At 34.8% G+C, this 17,157-nt stretch overlaps 1 long non-coding RNA gene across 1 annotated transcript in view; it reads right to left on the reverse strand.

The window, feature by feature from the left end:
- The window catches only part of LINC01218 (long intergenic non-protein coding RNA 1218), a 68,704-nt gene that overhangs the window by 39,397 nt on the left and 12,150 nt on the right, over positions 1-17,157 (reverse strand). The window contains exon 2 of the long non-coding RNA NR_189167.1: positions 1,822-1,865. This is a non-coding gene — a long non-coding RNA (long intergenic non-protein coding RNA 1218). The remainder of the gene's footprint in view (positions 1-1,821; positions 1,866-17,157) is intronic.

The raw sequence follows: 17,157 nt of genomic DNA on the forward strand, positions 1-17,157 counted from the left end.
AGTTGGCCATTTTCTCCCCCTTTCTTCTTTTCCGGGCGGGCTTGCTCCCTACAAGAGAAGCTGAACTGTCACTTATCAGTATTCCCAGCTTTCTTTCTTCTAGAGGTAGTATGTGACCGAGTTTTAGAGTGGTCCTCTAACAGACTCATGGGATGGTGGAATTATGACATAGTTGTGGGGTAGAAAGTGACGGAGTCCTGCAGCAGCAATGTGAAATCATGTGACAGATTTCTGGAGTAGCCATGTGACAAAATCTATGGAAGTGACACAGTTCTGACATGGTTGTGTGACACTGTTTTGGGGTGACCTTGTGATGTAATGCTTGGGTGGCAATGTGACATATTGATAGCCATGGAGCACAGTCCTGGGGTGACAATGTGACATATTGAACATTCCTGGGATGGCCATGTGACATAGTTCTGGGATGGCAATGTGACATAGGACAGGACCATGTGAAAAGTCTCTGGTCAATGAAGTCTTAGGGATGTCTCCTGGAGAGTTTCTGGGAAAGATTCTCCCTCCATCTAAAGAGGAATATGGAAAAAGGCTTTCCTCACCACTAGGACTGCCCCTTTCTCCTCTGATATTTGAACAGATTGACATGAGCACATAACACTCCAGGCTGCTGCAGCAGACATACTGCCGCAACAATGGCAGACATTTCATCTACTGAGAATGGCAGACGAATGAGAAGTGCCTAGAACCTTGATGGCACTTTGTGCAATAAGTCTTAGCTTGCCTACCCCTAGATTACTTCTTAAGTGAGTGATATGGTTAGGCCTTGTGTCTCCACCCAAATTTTATCTAGAATTATAATCCCCATAATACCCACATGTCAAGGAGATACCAGGTGGAGGTAATTGGATCATGGGGGCAGTTTCCCCTGTGTTGTTCTCGTGATAGTGAGTTCTCACAAGATCTGATGGTTTTATAAGTGCCTCTTCCCTCTTTGCTCAGCACTTCTCCTTCCTGCCACTTTTGTGAAGAAGGTGCCTTGCTTCCCCTTCAGCTTCTACCATGATTGTAAGTTTCCTGAGGCCTCCCCAGCCATGCTGAACTGTGAGTCAATTAAACCTGTTTCCTTTATAAATTACCCAGTCTTGGGCAGTTCTTTATAGTACTATGAACATGGACTAATACAGTAAGATTAAGCATAAGCATTTCCCTGTTGAAATTAAATTTATTTTTGCAACAAAGACACAAATTGCTTTTTCATAAAAGTTCAGGAGAAAAAAATTAATTTGAAACTTCATAAAGAATAATACAAGTAGTATCCTTTAGTTATATAAAGATAATGCAGGCAGGCTCCCTGACCTAGAGTAAAGACGCATAAGACTTTTTGCTTGACTAAGTTAGGTGCTAAAGACTGTGGTAAGCAGCTCTAGCGAGTGAGTGGCCAGTTGGCAAACGAAGTTTTAGGAGACTGAAACTTCCCCATTATTGCTTTCCAAAGTTCAAAATAAAGGAAAACAATCAATTTGCACCAAGGTGACCATAACCACCTACAATAAAATTACCTGTATCATAGGCGAGGCTCATGATCTAAGGTTCAGGTGTAGATCAAGCTGAGAATTCTGCAGTTTCCAATATCAGTGGTTGAGACTTAGGAAACAGCATTGAGTATAAAATCTGGAAATCTTGGTGTTGATGTGAAGGGATGTGAACAAGCAAGGGCATGTCAGAGCCAGTGGACAAATAGTGTCATCTGTCACACTATGTAAGACATAGAGGTAAGTCATGCCAGTAATGGGATTGCCAAGTAACAACTCCCTATTTGCTTTTTGTGTGTGGAAATAGGCTGAATCTCCTACCACAACTCACCTTGGTCATATGAGCAAATGGACAGGTTCTTGAACAAACTGGACCTGGGGAAACATGAAGGAGGATTTAATAAAATTTTCACTAATAAGACTTGTAGATTTCAAAGCATTAACTATAAATGAGTGAATACATGCATCAGTATTCCCACATCAGTGAGTATATACATATTTGTCTTTGTCATACGTATATCTACTTATATATCAACATCAAACACTACACAACAACTGTTAATTGCCCCAAAACAGAATGATTAATTAAGCACAGTTATTTTTTGCTAATCTAACCTTTCTTATTAAAAATAAATTTTATTATGCATATTTTAGGTATACAGCATGTTACAAGATACATATATGTACATATATACACATATATACATAATATAATGGTTACTATAGTGGAATAAATTAGTATACCCATCATTTCACTTAGTTACTCATTTCCCGCTCTGTGGCAAGAGCAGCTATCATCCATTCATTTAACAAAATTTCTGACTACAATACATTATTATTAACTATAGTTCTCATGTTGTATATTAGTAGCATGTTTGCTACTTTTTACCCTTTGACCTACATCTCCCCATTTTCTCTCCTTCACCTCAATCCTGGTAACCACTGTTTTATTCTCTATCTCTGTCTCTATATACTTGATTTTTTTAAGATTCCACATATAAGTGGGATCATGCAGTATTTATCATTCTGTGTCTGACTTATTTTACTTGGCATAATGTGCTCTCTAGATTCATCCATATTATTGCAAATGGCAGGATCTTCTCTTTTTTAAGGCTGAGTAATATTCCATTGTGTGTGTGTGCACACATGTATGTACATGCACACACACATGTATTTACACACACACACTATAGTTTCTTTATCCTTTCATCCATCAGTGGACTGTACATTGTTTTCATATCTTGGCTATCATGAATAATGCTTCAAGGAACATGTGAGTGCCAACATCTTTACTAGGTGGTGATTTCTTCCCTTTGGGCATATCCTCAGCAGTGGGATTGCTGGGTTATATGGTAGTTCTATTTTTCTTTAGGGACCTCCTTCCTGATATACCAATGTACATATCCATCAATGGTGCACAAGAATTACCTTTTCTCCATACTCTCACCAATACTTGCTAATACTTATTAAAATGTTAGGAAATCTTATCTGAAATAAAACGTTTTAGCAAAGACTGGAAAGACCGTGATATATATAATTAATTATATATTATTTCATATAATAATATATACTATATAATCATAAAATATGATATATAATTAGTTATATTATTGTATGTAATAACAAATTATAATATAGAATTAATGATAATACATATAATCTATATGTAATTAATCATAGTATATGTAATCTTTCTGGTCTTTGTCAAAATGTTTCATTTCAGAGATTATTTCTTAACATTTTAATAAGTGTTTTTAAGGACAATTTTCTAAGGTCAAATAAGTCTGGAAAATACTCTTTACCCAAATTTAAACTGGTTGCTTTGATGCAAGCCTTCTGAACCTTTGAATACGCAGTATGAATATTCAAGAGAGGATAGAGTAGATATTGCCTCTAAAAATTACGTATCCACTGAAGTCTTCTTTACAAAGCATCTCATGAGACTAGTTTCTTGCAGAACGTAATTTGAAAAACACTGATTTAGTTTTAAATTCAACCCACAGATAATAAATGTTTAATTTTTACATATATTTTCTTTAAATTAAAAATATTCAAATTTATTACAATTATTTGAAATTTAACCTTGTATTCAATTGCATTTTTATTCACCAGCAGTCCCTTTGTGCCTTCGCCATTCTAGCACTTTTAATATTAATGCATGGCTTGATCTGTTGGAGTAGATTTTTAAATACATTTTCAAGAATGGTTCATGGATAATATGTTTTATGATCCCACCCAAATATGCGAAATATTTTATTGTGTGACATTGATCTTGGCTATATACACAATCACTAGGTCCTCAGACTATGTCCTCAAAATGCTAGGCAAAATCTGTTATGTATAATTGTATAGGACTTAGTAGCTAGCCTGAATCTGTTCTTTTGCTTATAAGTTTAGTTTGTGAGTGGGGCAGGAGAGGGGTTTGAGGTGCATGGAGCTAAATCCAGATACTCTGTTTTGTCCAGCTTCTTTAACTTAGCCCAAATTTTTTGAGATTCATCCATGTTGTTTTATGTTTGAATACTTTATTCCTTTTTATTGTTGAATAGTGTTCTGTTATGTAGTATGCTGCAATTTGTTAATGGATTCACCTGTTGATGGTTATTCAGGTGGTTTTCACTTTCTGGTTATTGTTTCTATTTATGTGATTAAAAATTTTTGCAAGGATGTGTCTAGTGTGGGTATCCAAAATAACTTTGAATGATATTTGCAAAGCATGTCAAATCTATGTAACTGGTTTGCTATAAAGATTCAATGTGAGTCTAGACACGGTGGTCATTCCTATAATCTCAGCACTTTGGGAGGCCAAGGTGGATGGATCACCTGAGGTCAGGAGTTCAGGACCAGCCTGACAAACATAGTGAAACGCCATCTCTACTAAAAATACAAAATTAGCCAGGCATGGTGGCACGTGGCTATAATCCCAGCTATTTGGGAGGCTGAGACAGGAGAATCACTTGAACCTGGGGGACAGAGGTTGCAGTGAGCCAAGATCAAGCCATTGCACTCCAGCCTGGGCAACAAGAACAAACTTTGTCTCAAAAAAAAAAAAAAAAAAAAAAAAGACTCAATTTGTTGGGGCATAGAAATAAAAAGCATTCCTTTAGATCCAATAATTAATACCTTCCATGTTCAGTAATATCCTCTTTTCCTACTGGGTACCAGTTTTCTAATTGGCATTTTAATTTTGACTCAATTAAATCACATTTATTCTGGAAAGAATTATTTCATTTATTGAAAGACTAACATACTTATTTTAACTTTAAATATTCTATTCAATTCGAAGTTTACCCCCACTCATCCTGTCTCCTTTTCTCAGATTAGACTTGTGGTTCAAGAGTTTGAAATGAAGAGGTTGGAGTACAGCAAAACTCTGTTGGCAACCCACCTTCAATGCATATCTCTTTTTCTGTTGAAACACTTAGAAAAAGAAGAGAAGACAGTTGACTTCAGTTGCTAACCTTTGACTGGTAACTGTTTTTTCTTATGTGCTCCCTAAAATTCTTCATATCATATCACACCAAAAAATTGTATTATTAGCACAGGACATTTGAGAAAAGGAGAGAGCATCTGGGGCTTCTATGTGACTTGGAGAACAATTTTTATTATAAGAAAACAAAATGCAAAGTGTTGGAAGCATATTAAATGTTGAATTCGTTTATCCCTTCCAAATTAAAATTTGTCAATATTGTTAATCAGCCACTTGATCTTATCCTCAGTAAGCAATGTTAACCTAACATTGCAATCCTTCTCTTCCACCCTTCCACCCATTCCTCCTTCCATTGGCAAGCAATCAACTATCTTTTTTCTGTCACTTTCTATTTGCTTGCATTTTCTGGAATTTTATATAAATCAAATCATACAAGGTATGTTCTCTTTTGTCCAACTTCTTTGACTCAGGCTAATTATTTGAGATTTATCCATGTTATTTTATGTATGAATACTTCATTGCTTTTCTTTTCTTTTTTTTTTTTTTTTTTTTTTGCTTTTTTTGGCTGAGTAGTATTCCGCTATTTGGGTAAACTGTAATTTTTATTGCTAAGTAGTATTCTGCTATATGGGTAAACCGTAATTTGTTTATGGATTCACCTGTTGATGATCACTGGGTTATTTTCACTTTTTGGCTATTATAAGTGCCAAACATTTACTTGTTAAATTTCTTAACATTCATGTATGTGTCTTCTTGTGAACACATGCTTTCATTTCTTCTGGGGACATGCTAGGATTAGAATGGCTGGGTCATATGTGAGGTGTATGTTTACAGTTTCACAAAACTGCCAAACTCTCTTCTAAATTCATTTTTCCATTTTAATTTACCACAAACAGTATATGAAAGTTCCAGTTGCTTCACATCCTCACAAAACTTAGTATGGTCTTCTTTTTATTTTCACAAATTCTAATGGGTGAGTAATATATATCTCATTGTCATTTGCATTTTCCTAATGATTAATGACAATGAATATCTTTTAATATGTTTGACATCTGTATATCCTATGTGGTGAAGTGTCTGTTCAAATATTTTGCCCATTTTATTTCATTTTTTGTCTTATTATTGAGTTGTAAGAGTTTTGAATATTCTAGATACAAATCTTTCATTAAATACATGTTTTTCAAATATTTTTGCCAATCTGTGTCTTGCTTTTTTATTCTTTACAATGTCTTTTGAAAGGCAACTGTTTTTAATTTTCAGTAAGTCCAATTTACTAATTCTTTCTTTTTAAGGCTTTTGCTTTATTTGTTGTACTTAAGAAATCCTCATCAAACCCATGGTCACAAATATTTTCTCCTAGTTGTCTTCTAGTTGTTTTATAGTTTTAGCTCTTACTTTAAGGTCTATGATCAATTTCAAGCTAATGTTTGTATGTCAGATGAGGAAAAGGGAAAGCTTCATTTATCCAAATGACTATCTAATTGTTCCAGCACCATTTGTAGAAAAGATTATAATCTTGGATTCTCCTCTTAAATTGTCTTAACAATTTGGTAAAAATCAATTGATAATGTATGTGTGGGTCTGTTTCTGGACTCTTTATTGTATTCCATTGATCTATTTTTCTCTTTACGCTATGATCACATTATTTTTATTTAAAATAAGTACTGAAATTGGGTAGTGTGAGTCCTCCAACTTGATGGAGTTGTTAAAGTTGTTGTTTTAGCTATTCTAGATCCTTGGTTTTTTTTTCATTTAAATATAATTACCTTGTTAAAAAAACAGATGCCTGCTGGGATTTTTATTAGAATTACACTGAAGCATCAAATGGTAAAAAAACTTGCATCTTAACAGTGTTGAGCCTTCTGATCTGTAAATGCATATATCTTTCTAGTTATTTAGGTTTTTAAATTTCCTTCTGCAGTATTTTGTAGTTGTAGTATACAGATATTATATATCTTTTATCAAATTTATCTGTAAAATTTTCATATTTTGATGTTATAAATTATATTGTTTTTCATTTTAATTTGTGATTTTTTGTTGCTAGCATATAGAAATGAGATCAAATTTGCATACTGACCCCACTGTTTCTTTATAGAAATAAAATTTAATTTGCATATTGATCCTGTATACTGAAAACTCATCCAACTCACATTTTAATGCTGGAAGATTCTTTTGTCAATTGCATCAGATGTTCTACACAGATAATCATGTTATCTACAAATTAAAACACTTTTACTCCTGCCTTTCCAACCTAGATGTTTTTCATTTTTTATTCTCGCTTTATAGCAATTGATAAAACATCAAGTATAACGTTGAATAGAATCAATGACAGCAGATATCTTAAATTTTCCAGAAGAGTTTGCATGGAATTGATATTATGACTTTCATAATCATTTGGTATAGTTAATCACTGAAACTATCTATGCTTGAATTTTTTGTGGAAAAATATCTTAATAAAACTTAAAATTCAAAATGGAAAACTATGGAAACAGTAAAAATATCAGTGATTTCCAGGGGGTGGAGGAGAGACAGGGGTTAATGTGTGGAACACAGAGGATTTCAAGGCAGTGAAATCTTCCACACATACTCTATATGATACAATAATAGTGGATACATGTCATTATAAATTTGTCCCAACTGCTAGAATGTAGAGTAACCTTTAATGAAAACTATGGACTTTGAATGATAATGATGTGTCAGGGTAGATTTGTGAATTGTAATGAGTGTCCCAGCCTTGTAGGGGATATTGCATGTGTAGGAGCAGGATGTATACGGGAAATGTCTGTACTTTCCTCTCAATTTTCCTGTGAATCTCAAACTGCTAAAAAAAAAAAATAATAACAATAAAACCTTTAATTTTTTAGAAAATCTTTTTAAAAAATAAATTTTTGATGTACAATTATTTAGGTTATTTCTTATTGTGTGAGCGTTTGTAGTTTACTTTATCATAATATTTATTATTCTTTTAAAATATATATAATATTATTTAATTGTTTCTGATATTGGTAATTTGTGTCTTTTCTCTTTTCATCTTGATCAGTCAGGTTAGAAATTTATCAATTTTATTAACCTTCTCACAGAAATGCTTTTGGTTTTGTTGATTTTCCTTTTTTGTTATTTTCTAATTGGTTTCTAATCCGATCTCATCATTTTCTTTCTTCTGCTTACCTTGGTTTTAATTTTGTCCTCTTTTTTTCCAGTTTCCTAAAGTGGCAGTTGAGGTCATTTATTTGAAATCTTTTTTTCCTTTCCAATTAGGCATTTTAGGTCTATCCATTCCCCTCTCAATACTACCGTTGCTGCATTCTAAAAAATCGTGATGTGTTGTATTTTCATATTCGTTTAGTTCAAAACATTCTAATTTCTATTTTGATTTCTCTTTTAACCTGTGAGATTTGAAAAATTGTGTTGCTTAGTTCCCAAATATTTGGATCTCTTTGAGATATCTATTATCAATTAATAATTTAATTCGAGTGTGATTAGAGAACATATTTTGTATAACTTGGATCATTTTCAATGTATTGAGATTTGTTTAATAACTCATAACATATTCTATCTTAATAAATATTCCCCACGTACTTGAAAAGAATTTGTTATTCTGCTATTGTTGAACTGGATGTCCTTTTTCTTTATTTCAATAGCTTTTTCTTTGCTGATTTGTTTAAATTCCTTGTAGATTCTAGATATTTGTTCTTTGTTAGATGCATACTTTGTAAATATTTTCTTTCATTCTGCAGGTTACCTATTTACTTTGTTGATTATTTATTTTGCTGTGCAAAAGCTCTTTATTTTTGTTTTTGTTGCATTTGCTTTTCGGGTTTGTTGCATTTGGTTGTAAATTCTTTGCCTATGCCAAGGTTCAGAAGTGTTATTCCTAGGCCTTCTTCTGGAATATTTAAAGTTTCAGGCCTTGCATTTAAATATTTAATCCACCTGAAGTTAATTTTTGAATGTGGTAGTGAGGGATAGAAAACCAGTTTTACTCTTCTGAATGTGGCTGTCCAGTTTTCCAAGCACCATTTATTGAACAGGGTGTCCTTTACCTAGTATATGGTTTTGTATGCTTTGTCAAATAGCTATTGGTTATAAATATTTGGCTTTGTTTCTGGGTTTTCTTTTCAGTTCCATTGGTCTACGTGTCTACTTTTATACCAGTACCATGGTGTTTTGGTTACAATAGCCTTGTAGTATAATTTGAAGTCAGGTGATATGATGCCTCCAGATTTGTTCTTTTTGCTTAGGATAGCTTCAACTATTCGGGTTATTTTTTAGTTCCATATGATTTTAATATTGTTTATTCTAATTTTGTGAAAATTGACATTAGTATTTTGACAGGAATTGCATTTAATCTATAGATTGCTTTGGGTATGGTCATTTTCACAATATTGATTCATTCTATACATGAGCATGGGATGTTTTATCCACTTATTTGTGTCATCTATGATTTCTTTTATCAGTGTTTTTTAGTTCTCCTTGTAGATATCTTTTATCTCCTTGGTCATATGTATTCCTAGGTATTTTATTTTGTGTGCAGCTATTGTAAAAGGGACTGAGTTTTTTGTTTGCTTCTCAGCTTGGTGAATATTAGTGTATAACAGTGCTACTAATTTGCATATGCTGATTTTGTAACCTGAGACCTTACTGAATTCATTTATAGAATCTAGGAGTCTTTTGGAGGAGTCTTTAGGGTTTTCTAAGTGTACGACTGTATCAGCAACAAACAGAGATTGTTTGACTTCCTTTTTCAATTTGGATGTCCCTTATTTCTTTCCCTTGCCTGATTGCCCTGGCTAGGACTTCCGGTGTTATGTTGAATAGAAGTCGTAAAAGTGAGCATCGTTGTTAGTTCCGGTTCTGAGGATAAATGCTTTAAAATTTTCCCCCATAAAGTATGATCTTAGCTATGGGTTTGTCATATATAACTTTATTATTTTGAGGTATGTTCTTTCTATGCCTAGTTTGTTTAGGGTTTTATCATGAAGGGATGCTCAAATTTTTTATCAAGTGCTTTTTCTTCATCTATTGAAATGATCATATGGTTTTCATTTTAAATTTTGTTTGTGTGTCAAATCACATTTATTGATTTGCATATGTTGAATCATTCTTGCATCCTCAGAATGAAATTCACTTGATTGTGGTGAATTATATTTTTTGATGTGTTGTTGGATTCAGTTTCTAGTATCTTCTTGAGGATTTTCACAACTATGTTTATCTGTTCATCAGGAATATTAATCTGTAGGTATTTGTGGTGTCATTGTGCCCTTTCATGGCTTATGTATTAAGGTGATACTGGCTTTATAACATGAATTAGGGAGCACTCCTTCCTTCTTAATCTCTTCGAATCATTTCAAGAAGATTGGCATCATTTCTTCTTTGAATGCCTAATAGAATTCAGCTGTGAATCCATCTGGTCCTGGGCATTTTTTTGTTGTTGGGAGATTTTTTATTACTGATTCAATCCCACCACTAAACATTGGCCTGTTCAGGATTACTATTTGTTTATGATTCAAGGAAGGGAGGATGTATATTTCTAGGAATTTATCAATTTCTTCCAGATTTTCTAGTTTGTATGCATTGAGGTATTCATACTAGTCTCAGATGATCTTTTGTATTTCTGTGGTAGCAGTTGTAATGTTTCTATTTTTAATTCTAATTTAGCTTATTTGAATTAATTATCTTTTCAATTCATTGATCATTTGTATTTTTTTGTTTATTCGTTTCCATTTCATTTAGCTTTGCTCTTATCTTGGAATTGATTTCCAGTTGTATTCCTTTGCAGTCTGAGAAGATACTTTGCTTTTATTTTTCTACTTTCTTGAGGTCCAATGTAAAATTGTACTTTTTTTTAACGTAAGTATTTATCCTATAAATTTCCTTCTTTGCACTGCTTTCACTGGATCCCAGAAATTTTGATAATTTGTGCCACTGTTATTATTCATTTGATTTTAAATTAAATTTCCATCTTGACTTCATCATTGACCCAAAGATCTTTTAGGAGCAAGTTGTTTAATTTTGTGTATTTATATAGTTTTGAGAGTTCCTCTTGAATCTGAGAGCTCCTCTGTTAAGTGCATATATACTTAGGATTGCTGTATCTTTTTATTGAATTGGTCTCTTTGTTATTATATAATGACCTTCTTTGTCTTTTTGTACTGTTTTTGATTTAAAGTCTGTTTTTTCTGATATAATAGTAGACACTCCTGCTCTCTTTTGTTTTCTATTTGCGTGGAATATTTTTTCACCCCTTTATCTTGGGTCTATAATAATATTTATGAGTTAAGTGGGGCTCTTGAAGGCAGCAGATATTTGGGTTGTGTTTTTTTCCATTCCACCAGTATATGTCTTTTAAATAGGGCATTTAGACCACTTACATTAAAAGTTAATATTGACATGTGAGATACTGTTTCAGTCATCATGTTGATTGTTATCTAATTGCTATATCTTCTCCATTGTGTAATGTTTTATAAGCCCTGTGAGTTTTATAATTTCAAGTGTTTTATACTGGTGTATATCAACCATTAGTTTCAATGTTTAGAACTCTTTTGAGGATTCTTGTTGGATTGGTCTAGTGATGACAAATTCCTTCGGCATTTGCTTGTCAGGGAAAGACTTTATTTATCCTTCATTTATGAAACTTTAGTTTTGCAGAATACAAAATTATTGGCCAACAGTTATTCTGCCTAAGAAGACTAAAGATAGGACTCCAATCCCTTCTGCCTTGTAAGGTTTCTGCTGATAAATCTGCTGTTATTTTGATAGGTTTTCCTTTATAAGTCATTTGATGTTTTGTTTCACTGCTCTCAGAATTCTTCCTTTTGTGTTGACTTTAGATAGCCTGATGTCTGTATCCCTTGGTGATGTCCTTTTGCAAAAAATCTTCCAGGAGTTCTTGAACTTCATGTATCTGAATGTCTAAATCTCTACTAAGACCAGAGAAGTTTTCCTCAATCACTCCCTCAAATAGGTTTTCTGAACTTTTTGATTTTTTTCTTTTTGTTTTATAAATTCTATCTTTTTAGATTATTTTTCATTCATATCCTGAATTTGTTTTCTTTTCTTTTTTTTTATTATGCTTTAAGTTCTAGGGCACATGTGCACAACGTGCAGTTTGTTACATAGGTATACATGTGCTATGATGGTTTGCTGCACCCATCAACTCGTCATTTACATTAGGTATTTCTCCTAATGCTATACCTCCCCAAGCCCCCCATCCCCTGACCAGCCCCAGTGTATGATGTTCCCCACTCTGTGTCCATGTGTTCTCATTGTTCAACTTCCACTTATGAGAGAGAACATGTGGTGTTTGGTTTTCTGTCCTTGTGATAGTTGGCTTAGAATGATGGTTTCCAGCTTAATGCATGTCCCTGCAAAGGATATGAACTCATTCTTTTTTATGGTTGCATAGTATTCCATGATGTATAGGTGCCACATTTTCTTAATCCAGTCTACCATTGATGGACATTTGGGTTGTTTCCAAGTCTTTGCTATTGTGAATAGTGCCACAATAAACATACATGTGAAGGTGTCTTTATAGTAGCATGCTTCATAATACTTTGGGTATATGCCCAGTCAGGGGATTGCTGGGTCAAAAGGTAATTCTAGTTCTACATACTTGAGGACTCGCCACACTGTCTTCCACAATGGTTAAACTAATTTACACTGCCACCAACAGTGTAAAAGCATTCCTATTTCTCCACATCCTCTCCAGCATCTGTTGTTTCCTGACTTTTTAATGATCACCATTCTAACTGGTATGAGATGGTATCTCATTGTGGTTTTGATTTGCATTTCTCTGATGAACAGCGATGATGAGCATTTTTGCCTATGTCTGTTGGCTGCAAAATGTCTTCTTTTGAGAAGTGTCTATTCATATGCTTTGCCCAGTTTTTGATGGGGTTGTTTGTTTTTTCTTGTAAATTTGTTTAAGATCTTTGCAGATTCTGGATATTAGCCCTTTGTCAGATGGGTAGATTGTAAAAATTTTCTCCCATTTTGTAGGTTGTGTGTTCACTCGGATGACAGTTTCTTTTGCTGTGCAGAAGCTCTTTAGTTTAATTAGATCCCATTTGTCTATTTTGACTTTTGTTGCCATTGCTTTTGGTGTTTTAGTCATGAAGTCTTTGCCCATGCCTATGTCCTGAATGGTATTACCTAGGTTTTCTTCTAGGGTTTTTATGGTGTTAGGTCTTACATTTAAGTCTTTAATCCATCTTGAGTTAATTTTTGTATACTGTATAAGGAAGGGATCCAGTTTTAGCTTTCTACATGTGGCTAGCCAGTTTTCCCAGCACCATTTATTAAATAGGGAATCCTTTCCCCATTGCTTGTTTTTGTTAGGTTTCTTGAAGATCAGATGGTTGTAGATGTGTGGTGTTATTTCTGAGGCCTCTGTTCTGTTCCATTGGTCTATATATCTGTTTTGGTACCAAAACCATGCTGTTTTGGTACCAAAACCATGCTGTTTTGGTTACTGTAGCCTTATAGTGTAGTTGGAAGTCAGGTAACATGATGCCTTCAGCTTTGTTTTTTGCTTAGGATTGTCTTGGCTATGCGGGCTCTTTTTTGGCTCCAAATGAACTTTAAAGTAGTTTTTTCCAATTCTGGGAAGAAAGTCAGTGGTAGCTTGATGGAGATAGCATTGAGTCTATAAATTACCTCGGTCAGTATGGCCATTTTTACTACATTGATTCTTCCTATCCATGAGCATGGAATGTTTTTCCATTTATTTGTGTCCTCTTTTATTTCCTTGAGCAGTGGTTTGTAGTTCTCCTTGAAGAGGTCATTTACAATCCTTGTATGTTGGATTCCTAGGTATTTTATTTTCTTTGTAGCAATTGTGAATGGAAGTTCACCCATGATTTGGCTCTCTTTTTGTCTATTATTGGCATATAGGAATGCTTGTGATATTTGCACATTGATTTTGTATCCTGAGACTTTGCTAAAGTTGCTTATCAGCTTAAGTAGATTTGGGGCTGAGACGATGGGGTTTTCTAAATATAAAATCATGTCATCTGCAAACAGAGACAATGTGACTTCCTCTTTTTCTAACTAAATACACTTTATTTATTTCTTTTGCCTGATTACCCTAGCCAGAACTTCCAACACTTTGTTGAATAGGAGTGGTGGGAGAGGGCATCCTTGTCTTGTGCCAGTTTTCAAAGGGAATGCTTCCAGTTTTTGCCCATTCAGTATGATATTGGCTGTGGGTTTTTCATAAATAGCTCTTATTATTTTGAGATACGTCCCATCAATACCTAGTTTATTGAGAGTTTTTAGCCTGAAGGGCTGTTGAATTTTGTCAAAGGCCTTTCTGCATCTATTGAGATAATCATGTGGTTTTTGTCAATGGTTCTGTTTATGTGATGGATTACATTTATTGATTTGTGAATGGTGAACCAGCCTTGCATCCCAGGGATGAAGCCCACATGATCGTGGTGGATAAGCTTTTTGATGTGCTGCTGGATTCGATTTGCCAGTATTTTTTTGAGGATTTTCACATCAATGTTCATCAGGGATATTGGCCTAAAATTCTCTTTTTTTGTTGTGTCTCTGCCAGACTTTGGAATCAGGATGATGCTGGCCTCATAAAATGAGTCAGGGAGGATGCTCTCTTTTTCTATTGATTAAAATAGTTTCAGAAGGAATGGTACCAGCTTCTCTTTATACCTCTGGTAGAATTCAGCTGTGAATCCATCTGGTCCTGGAGTTTTTTTGGTTGGTAGGCTATTAATTATGGCCTCCATTTCAGAGCCTGTTATTAGTCTATTCAGAGATTCAACTTCTTCCTGGTTTAGTCTTGGGAGGGTGTATGTGTCCAGGAATTTATCCATTTCTTCTAGATTTTTTAGTGTACTTGCATAGAGTTGTTTATAGTATTCTCTGATGGTAGTTTGTATTTCGGTGGGATTGGTGGTGATATCCCCTTTATCATTTTTTATTGTGTCTATTTGACTCTTCTCTCTTTTCTTCTTTACTAGTCTTGCTAGTGGTCTATTTTGTTGATCTTTTCAAAGAAACCAGCTCCTGGTTTCATTGATTTTTTTAAGGGTTTTCTGTGTCTGTATCTCCTTCAGGTCTGCTCTGATCTTAGTTATTTCTTGCCTTCTGCTAGCTTTTGAATGTGCTTGCTCTTGCTTCTCTAGTTCTTTTAATTGCGATGTTAGGTTGTCAGTTTCAGATGTTTCCCTCTTTCTCTTGTGGGCGTTTAGTGCTCTAAATTTCCCTCTACAAGCTGCTTTGAATGTGTCCCAGAGATTCTGGTATGTTGCATCTTTGTTCTCTTTGGTTTCAAAGAACATCTTTATTTCTGCCTTCATTTTGTTATTTACCCAGTAGTCATTCAGAGGCAGGTTGTTCAGTGTCCATGTAGTTGTGTGGTTTTGAGTGAGTTTCTTAACCTGAGTTCTAATTTGATTGCACTGTGGTCTGAGAGACAGTTTGTTGTGATTTCTCTTATTTTACATTTGCTGAGGAGTGTTTTCCTTCCAATTATGTGGTCCATTTTAGAAGAAGTGCGGTGTGGCGCAGAGAAGCATGTATATTCTGTTGATTCTGGGTCGAGAGTTCTGTAGATGTCTATTAGGTCCGTTTGGTCCAGAGCTGAGTTCAAGTCCTGGATATCCTTGTTGACATTCTGTCTCATTGATCTATCTAATATTGACAGTGGGGTGTTAAAGTCTCCCATTATTAGTGTGTGGGAGTCTAAGTCTCTTTGTAGGTCTCTAAGGACTTGCTTTATGAATCTGGGTGCTCGTGTATTGGGTGCATATATATTTAGGATGGTTAGGTCTTCTTGTTGAATTGATCCCTTTACCATTATGTAGTGGCCTTCTTTGTCTCTTTTGATATTTGTTGGTTTAAAGTCTGTTTTATCAGAGACTAGGATTGCAACCCCTGCTTTTTTTTTGCTTTCCATTTGCTTGGTAGGTCTTCCTCCATCCCTTTATTTTGAGCCTATGTGTGTCTTTGCACATGAGATGGGTCTGCTGAATACAGCACACTGATGGGTCTTGACTCTATCCAATTTGCCAGTCTGTGTCTTTTAATTGGGATATTTAGCCCATTTACATTGAATGTTAATATTGTTATGTGTGAATTTGATCTTGTCATTATGATGTTAGCTGGTTATTTTGCCCATTAATTGGTGCAGTTTCTTCATAGCATCAACGGTCTTTACCATTTGGCATGTTTTTGCAGTGGCTGGTACTGGTTGTTCCTTTCCATGTTTAGTGCTTCCTTCTGGAGCTCGTGTAAGGCAGGCCTGGTGGTGACAAAATCTCTCAGCATTTGCTTGTCTGTAAAGGATTTTATTTCTCCTTCACTTATGAAGCTTAGTTTGGCTGGATATGAGAATCTGGGTTGAAAATTCTTTTCTTTAAGAATGTTGAATATTGGCCCCCACTCTTAGGCTTTCTGCCGAGATATCCACTGTTAGTCTGATGAGCTTCCCTCTGTGGATAACCTGACCTTTCTCTCTGGCTGCCCTTAACATTTTTTCCTTCATTTCAACCTTGGTGAATCTGACAATTTTGTGTCTTGGGGCTGCTCTTCTCAGGGAGTATCTTTGTGGTGCTCTCTGTATTTCCTGAATTTGAATGTTGGCCTGCCTTGCTAGATTAGGGAAGTTTTCCAGGATAATATCCTGAAGAGTGTTTTCTAACTTGGTTCCATTCTCCCCATCACTTTCTGGTACAACAATCAAACGTAGATTTGGTCTTTTCACATAATGCCATATTTCTTGGAGACTTTGTTCATTTCTTTTCACTCTTTTTCTCTAATCTTGTCTTCTCGCTTCATTTCATTACTTTGATCTTCAATCACTGATATCCTTTCTTCCACATGATCGAATCGACTACTGAAGCTTGTGCATTTGTCACGAATTTCTTGTGCCACAGTTTTCAGCTCCATCAGGTCATTTAAGGTTTTCTCTACACTCTTTATTCTACTTAGCCATTTGTCTAACCTTTTTTCAAGGTTTTTAGCTTCCTTTTGATGGGTTAGAACATGCTCCTTTAGCTCAGAGAAGTTTGTTATTACTAACCTTCTGAAGCCTACTTCTGTCAACTCATCAAACTCATTCTTCGCCAGTCTTGTTCCCTTACTGGTAAGGAGCTGTGATTCTTTGGAGAAGTGGTGCTCTATTTTTTGGAATTTTCAGGTTTTCTGCTTGGTTTCTCCCCATCTTTGTGGTTTTATCTACCTTTGGTCTTTGATGTTGGTGACCTGCAGATGGGGTTT

Source organism: Homo sapiens, chromosome 4, assembly GCF_000001405.40.
Source record: "Homo sapiens chromosome 4, GRCh38.p14 Primary Assembly".
NCBI lineage: Eukaryota > Metazoa > Chordata > Mammalia > Primates > Hominidae > Homo > Homo sapiens.